The sequence below is a fragment of the Homo sapiens genome, chromosome 8 (genome assembly GCF_000001405.40).
Source record: "Homo sapiens chromosome 8, GRCh38.p14 Primary Assembly".
Classification (NCBI taxonomy): domain Eukaryota; kingdom Metazoa; phylum Chordata; class Mammalia; order Primates; family Hominidae; genus Homo; species Homo sapiens.
Genome location: NC_000008.11, coordinates 131312245 through 131319623, shown reverse-complemented (window position 1 = coordinate 131319623; position 7379 = coordinate 131312245). Strand labels below are relative to the sequence as shown.

The window sequence follows — 7379 nt, the reverse complement described above, 5'->3', positions numbered from 1 at the left end:
CAAGGAATGTAACATCTTTCCTTTTTATCTTCCACCATTGCCTTGACCCTAGACCCATAATTTTAAATCTTTTTCCTTTGTTCACAAAGTATTACAATTTTGAAGTGCAATTATTTTGAAGCTGGAGGAAAAAAAAATGGCCTCTTTATAATTAGAGGTCTAGATTTCTGGGGCCAATGCACTTACGTAGAAGGAGACATAAATAAATAAAGTGACATTCCTATTGTCATGGTGCTTATGTCCTTGAGGGGAAAACAATCAAAAAGTATGGATCAGACGGTGAAAGGTGCAAAGAGAAAAATAAAGCAGAGGAAAGGACCATAGAATGAAAAGGTGCTAGTGTTAGCCAAGATCTCTGTGAAGATAAACCATGCGGGTGCATAGCAAAAAAAAGCACACCATGCAGTGTTTTTGCATAGATAATGCAAACACCCTAAGATAGGGTGTGCTTACTGTGTTTGAGGAACAGCAAGGTACTCGATAGCTGCGTCAGAGGGACAGTTGGAGGAGGCATAGGGGATAGGGCATGTGACTTGAGAGGTAGCAGGAATAAAGGAGACAATGGGTCATTTTAGCAATAGTTAGAGCTTTGATAGAGTGCAGTGTGCATTGGAGCATTTTGAGCAGAGGATTGACTTAGGCTGCTCTGAGAAGCATAGACTACAGTGGAGCAAAAAGGAAATGCAGAAAACCCATTAAGAAGACTGTCACAATAATCCAGGTGAGACATGATGGTGCTTAGACCCGAGCGGCAGCGACAGAGTTTAGATAAGTGATTGGATGCTGTGTGTATTATTTCAAAGTTAACAGTTGTAAAATTTGCTCATGGACTGAATATGGGAAATAGAGAAATTAGAGGAACCGGTTACTCAGAGTGTTTTACCCGAGCAAATGAAAGAAGGTTTCCTTTTCTTGAATGGATACGTATATAAAAAATAGATTTTTTTGGTGAGGGGTGGGGTGAAAAGAGTTTGTTTCACATATGTTAAGGTAGTGATTCTAGAGGAACATCACACTGGGGCTGCCAAATAGACAGACAGTCTGATATACATGTAGAATTAAAGAGGGACGTCAGAGCAAAATATATTACTTTGAGAGCCATCAGAAGAATATTGATGTTATTTAAGGCTGTGGCATTGGATGGGTAAATCTAGAGTGTGTGCACTGATTGCAAAGAGAAGCCAAAGGGCTGAGTCCCAGGACATTCAAATTAAAGAGGTCAGGAAGATGGAGAGCACACAGAAAAAGTAAAAAAGAAGGAGCAGTCAGCAGGTGAGAAGTAAATCCAGAGGCAGTGGGACCCAGAGGCCAAGCAAAATAAAGGTTTCAGATAAGCAATGGAGACATGGAGTTCTCAGAAGAAGCACCTTGGTGAGATGCCTTTCACAATTTTAATATTGTAATTGTGTTTCTCTTCCTTTTTGTGCTTAATATAATCAAGAAAGTAAAATTATTCATCAAGTAATTCACAAGCCACATTTTTAAGAGTTAAAGTGGAGCCTAACTGAAAATATTTTTGCTGGGCAGTTAGGAAACTAAGTTATAGCCCTTGGTTTGGACAAGCCAGGTTTCCTCTTGTGCACTTTTGGACTCACCATGTAGATAGCTCTTCGCTCAAAGAATGAAGACATAAAAGTGGGTGATATCCAAGCTCCTAGTAGGTAACATAACGACTAGTCTACCGTAAGTGCCCAATAATGACTGAGTAAATGAATGAATAAACAGGCAAATAAATGTTCTTTCCAGCTCTAAGATTTTATTATTGGCATTGCAACTCCCTTTCCTGTTAAGAAACATGGGCAGGACTGGGGTGAAACCACATCAGCAATTGCAGCTCTTTTTCGTTTATTCCTAGTGGCTTGCCTATAGAGACACTTAATTATTTATACTGCCTTTAGGAAGTGCAACTGGGCTCTGCTGCTGTGGATGCCGTTTCTGTTATTATTAGTCTCAGAGCTATTTCTTATTTCCTCCAGCACAATGAAGGTGGTGAAATAAGTAACCACACTTCCTTTTCCAAAGCCGCTGAAGTGCTCAGCTCAGCAGTAGTCAGACTCCTCCAGCATTTAATGAGAACTATGAAAGACCTAATTTCCTTTGTTGTCCTCAGTTCCCTTGACCTCAGATAATCAGATAAGCAGCAACACAAGAGGACCGGTGAGTTATTTCAATGGTTTCTCTCCAACATTTTTTTGTTCATGTGCAATCTGAGCATGACTATGATTTGTTGTTGTTGTTGTTGGTTAGCCTTTTCTCAAAACTGACTAGGCTGTAGCATTCCATTACTTTTCTGAAAAAAACAAAAAAACAAAAAAACAAAAAAAAAACAAAAAACGAAAAACAACCATTCAGCACCTGCTAGATATTTGTTGCTATAGGGCTAGGAATCTTCATTTTGTTACTTCCTTCTTTCCTCTTTCCCTACCCTTTTTTTCTAAAACTTTTGTTCCACCATTTTCTTATTTTCTTTTGATCAGAACACCAATTTAAACTATGAAATACACTAAGGCCTCAAAATTGATTAATAAATGTTAACTTCATGGTTCAATGCTATGCACAGTGTTTATAAACGTTAGACCACACAGTCCCTGTAATGGAGATAAATGTACTCCAGTTTAAAAGGAAATGTCAACATATCTGCTATTCAGGTGCAGTGATCATTATTTGATAAAATATTTAATTTACCCAGTATCTGTTGAGAACAAAATTCCACATTGACACTAATTGTAAATGGTTGGCACTCTATGGGTTCATGGTTTAGTGAAAGAGGTTTACATATAAGTGTATTCTGTTGCAAAGTTGACAGACACCAGTGTAGATGTGTAAAACAACGTGGATAGTGAGAGTGAAAAATATTTTATCACAGTTAGATCTTCAGTTAGAATGTGAAGCAAGGACATAGTTTCAACAGGCAGGTATGAGTTTGTGAATTTTCAGTGATAGACTAGCTTAAAAAAATACCAGCGTGATAGGCATAGAGGGAAGGTTTTTGAAAAGACATATCATCCATGAACACATTTTTTTGTAGCAAGTCACACATTGGCAAAAGTGAGCAAGGCCCAGAAGATGCAACGTTCAGGCTGAGCAGTATGTACGGGGGTAAAGAGGAGTTGGTATTTCCTGAGCACTCACTGTGTGTTATCTTTATTTAAGACTAAGGAAAGTGATATGGGGAGTTTATGTGATTTAGCCAAGGTCACAAAGTTAGTGGTTGAAGCATAATTCAAACACAGCTTATAGTTTTTCTAAAGACTATAACTAAAAATGTGTGTGCTAGCACTAAATGTATGTAACTAGTTACTTAGCACGACTGACTTTTAGGATCAAAAATAAAGAATTAGGTACAACTATACATCTCTGTCTATGCAGAGCAAATACTGAACTGAATTAACTATCTGGCCAATCAAGGAACAAGCTTGATCATGCTCTGTCTCCCTCAGTATCCTAGATCCAACTACCTGAAATCACCAGTGAATGAGATTTTTGAAATCCTGTACTATTTACATAATTGAGATCTTGCTTTTAGTGAGAAAACACTGATTTTAGTAGATTCAGTGTGTTCCATAAAAGCAGAGGTAGGCTCCAGCGCAGCCCTCAATTCCACGATCTCTTATAAAGGTCAGGGAGAAGGAAGAACATCTAGCATCAGGAGGCAGGCTGACTTGGAACAGAACAGAAGGCTGGGAGCTAAGGAGGATCTTCAGCAACTATCGTAAGTGCTACTAGTGCTTGTGGTTTACCATGATTTGTTCCCTTCCGTATGGGTGTAGGTAGTTTCATGCACATCCGTGTGAAGAGACCACCAAACAGGCTTTGTGTGAGCAACATGGCTGTTTATTTCACCTGGGTGCAGGCGGGCTGAGTCTGAAAAGAGAGTCAGTGAAGGGAGATGGGATGGGGCCGTTTTATAGGATTTGGGTAGGTAAAGGGAAAAGGGGGGTTGTTCTCTGGCGAGCAGGAGTGGGGGTCACAAGGTACGCAGTGGGGGAGCTTTTGAGCCAGGATGAGCCAGGAGAAGGAATTTCACAAGACAATGTCATCAGTTAAGGCAGGAACTGGCCATCTGGATGTGTACCTGGAGGCCACAGGGGATATGATGGCTTAGCTTGGGCTCAGAGGCCTGACATTCCTGTCTTCTTATATTAATAAGAAAAATAAAACGAAATAGTGGTAAAGTGTTGGGGTGGTGAAAATTTTTGGGGGTGGTATGGAGAGATAATGGGCGATGTTTCTCAGGGCTGCTTCAAGCGGGATTAGGGGTGATGTGGGAACCTAGAGTGGGAGAGATAAAGCTGAAGGAAGATCTTGTGGTAAGGGGTGATACTGTGGGGTTGTTAGAAGAAACATTTGTCATTTAGAATTATTGGTGATGGCCTGGATACGGTTCTGTATGAATTGTAAAACTAAACGGAATAAGAGAAGGAGAAAAACAGGTATTAAAGGCCTAAGAATTGGGAGGACCTAGGACATCTAATTAGAGAGTGCCTAAGGAGATTCAGCATAGTCCTGTCAGCAAAGATTACTTATTTACTTCAAGAGATAAGAGTCGCAGTTTGGGGATAGCACCAGGAGATATCAGCTGTGATGGCTTGGAGAAACAGTGTAAACCAGCAGTGTAAACAAGAGCAGGGCATGTATGAGTAGTTGAGAATGGTGAATAGGAGTATGACTAGACAGAAGATAGTAGGGATGACAAGTTTTTTTGGGGCACACTCCAAGTTGGTCTGGTGTCTGGAATGAGACTGGGGCCTAATAAAAAGGAGCATCTATACAGGAGCTCAAATGGGCTGTACCCTGTAGCATTCTGAGGACAGGTCTGACTTCTGAGAAGGGAAAGTGGTAAAAGTATTGTCCAGTCCTTTTTAAGTTGGTGGCTGAGCTTGGTGAGGTGTGTTTTTAAAAGACCTTTAGTCCGTTCTACTTTTCCTGAAGACGGAGGACCATAAGGGATATAAAGGTTTCACTGAATACTAAGAGCCTGAAAAACTGCTTGGCTGATTTGACTAATAAAGGCTCATCTGTTATCAGACTGTATTGAGGTGGGAACGCTTAACTGAGGAATTATGTCTGACAGAATGGAAGAAATGACTGTGGTGGCCTTCTCAGACCCTGTAGGAAAGGCCTGTACCTATCCAGTGAAAGTGTCTACCTAGACTAAGAGGTATTTTAGTTATCTGACTTGGGGCATGTTGAGTAAAGCTAATTTGCCAGTCCTGGGTGAGGGCAAATCCTCGAGCTTGATGTGTAGGGAAGGGAGGGGGCCTGAATAATCCCTGAGGAGTAGTAGAATAGCAGATGGAACACTGAGAAGTTATTTCCTTGAGGATAGGTTTCCACGATGGAAAGAAAATGAGAGGTTCTAAGAGGCGGGCTAGTGGCTTGTACTATAGCATAGCCTGCCTTTGCTGGTGTGTGGCGATTAGGCCTGGTGGAACTGCCATCAATAAATCAAGCATGATCAGGGTCCTCACCCTGATCAGGAAAGAAGGAAATATGGGGAAATGGGGTGAATGTCAGGTGGATCAGAGAGATACAGTCATGAGGGTCAGGTGTAGTATCCAGAATAATGTGGGAGGCCGGATTGAAGTGCAGGCCAGGAACAATGGTAATTGTGGGACTTAACAAAGAGTGAGTACAGCTAAAGGAGCTGGGGAGCAGAAAGTATATGCATCAGGTGTGAGGAAGAAAATAGATGTTGGAAGTTATGAGAAATGTAGAGAGTGAGTTGAGCATAGTTTGTGATTTTTAGGGCCTCTGAAAGTATTAAAGCAGCGGCAACCGCTACATGCAGACGTGAGGGCTAAGCTAAAACAGTAAGGTCAAGTTGTTTGGACAGAAAGGCTACAGGGTGTGGTCCTGGCTCTTGTGTAAGAATTCTGACCACACTAACCATGCCTAGGAAGGAAAGGAGTTGTTGTTTTGTAAGGGGTTGAGGTTTGGGAGATTAATCAGACATGATCAGCAGGGAGAGCACGTGTATTTTTATGAGAATTATGCCGAGATAGGTAACAGATGAGGATGAAATTTGTGCTTGACTGAAGTAATGGGGGCTGTCTGTGAAGCCTTGCAGCAGTACAGCCCAGGTAATTTGCTGAGCCTAATGGGTGTGAGGGTCAGTCTAAGTGAAAGCAAAGAGAGGCTGGGATGAAGGGTGCAAAGGAATAATAAAGAAAGCATGTTTGAGATCCAGAACAGAATAATGGGTTGTAGAGGCAGGTATTGAGGATAGGAGAGTATATGGGTTTGGCACCACGGGGTGGATAGGCAAAACAATTTGGTTGATAAGGCGCAGATTCTGAACTAACCTGTAAGCCTTGTCTGGTTTTAGGACAGGTAAAATGGGGGAATGGTAAGAAGAGTTTATAGGCTTTAAAAGGCCATGCTGTAACAGACGAGTGATAACAGGCTTTAATCCTTTCAAAGCATGCTGTGGGATGGGATATTGTCATTGAGTGGGGTAAGGGTGATTAGTTTTTAATGGGATGGTAAGGGGTGCATAATCGGTCACTAAGGAGGGAGTAGAGGTGTCATACTTGTGGGTTAAGGTGGGGAGATACAAGGGGAGGATGTGAAGGAGGCTTTGAACTGGGGGAAAAGGCAGCAATGAGGTGTGGCTGTAGCCTAGGAACAGTCAGGGAAGCAGATAATTAAGTTAAAGTATCTCGGCCTGATAAGGGAACTGGGCAGGTGGGGATAATTAAAAGGAGTGCTTAAAAGAGTATTGTCTAAGTTGGCACCAGAGTTGGGGAGTTTTAAGAGGTTTAGAAGCCTGGCTGTCAATACGCACGACAGTTATAGAAGCAAGGGAAACAGGCCCTTGAAAATAAGGTAATGTGGAGTGAGTAGCCTCCGTATTAAGAAGGGGATGGACTTACCTTCCACTGTGAGAGTTACCTAGAGCATCTGTGATGGTCCTGTAGGCTTCTGAGGCGATTGGGCAGTGTCAGTCTTCAGCTGCTAAGCTGAGAAGATCTGGGAAGGAGTCAGTCAGAGAGCCTTGGGCCAGAGTTCCAGGGGCTCTGGGAGTGGCTGCCAGGTGAGTTGAACAGTCTGATTTTCAGTAGGGTCCTACACAGATGGGATACGGCTTAAGAGGAATCCTGGGCTGTGGGCATTCCTTGGCCCAGTGGTCAGATTTCTGGCACTTGTAGCAAGCTCTGGGGGAGGAGGTTCTGGAGGAACCCCTTGCAGCTGCGGTTCAGGCATTTGGAGTTCTTGTGTGCTGTAGACGTGGCTGGGGTTTGTCTCAGTGGAGGCAAAGAATTGCAACTCAGAAATATGTTGCTACTTGGCTGCCTCTACTCTATTAATTGCACACCTCGAAGGTGAAGTTAATTAAGTCCTGTTGTGGGGTTTGAGGGCCGGAATTTAATTTTTGG

The 7379-nt window shown here is 42.3% G+C and overlaps 1 long non-coding RNA gene across 1 annotated transcript; it reads right to left on the bottom strand.

Annotated features, from left to right (window-relative positions):
- Positions 1-1736: 1736 nt before the first annotated feature.
- IADEN (IGF2BP1 associated definitive endoderm lncRNA) lies at positions 1737-7145 on the bottom strand. Its single transcript, XR_007061185.1, has 2 exons — positions 3741-7145; positions 1737-2290 (listed from the first exon to the last, which is right to left on the bottom strand). It is a non-coding gene; the product is annotated as an IGF2BP1 associated definitive endoderm lncRNA (long non-coding RNA).
- Positions 7146-7379: the final 234 nt, after the last annotated feature.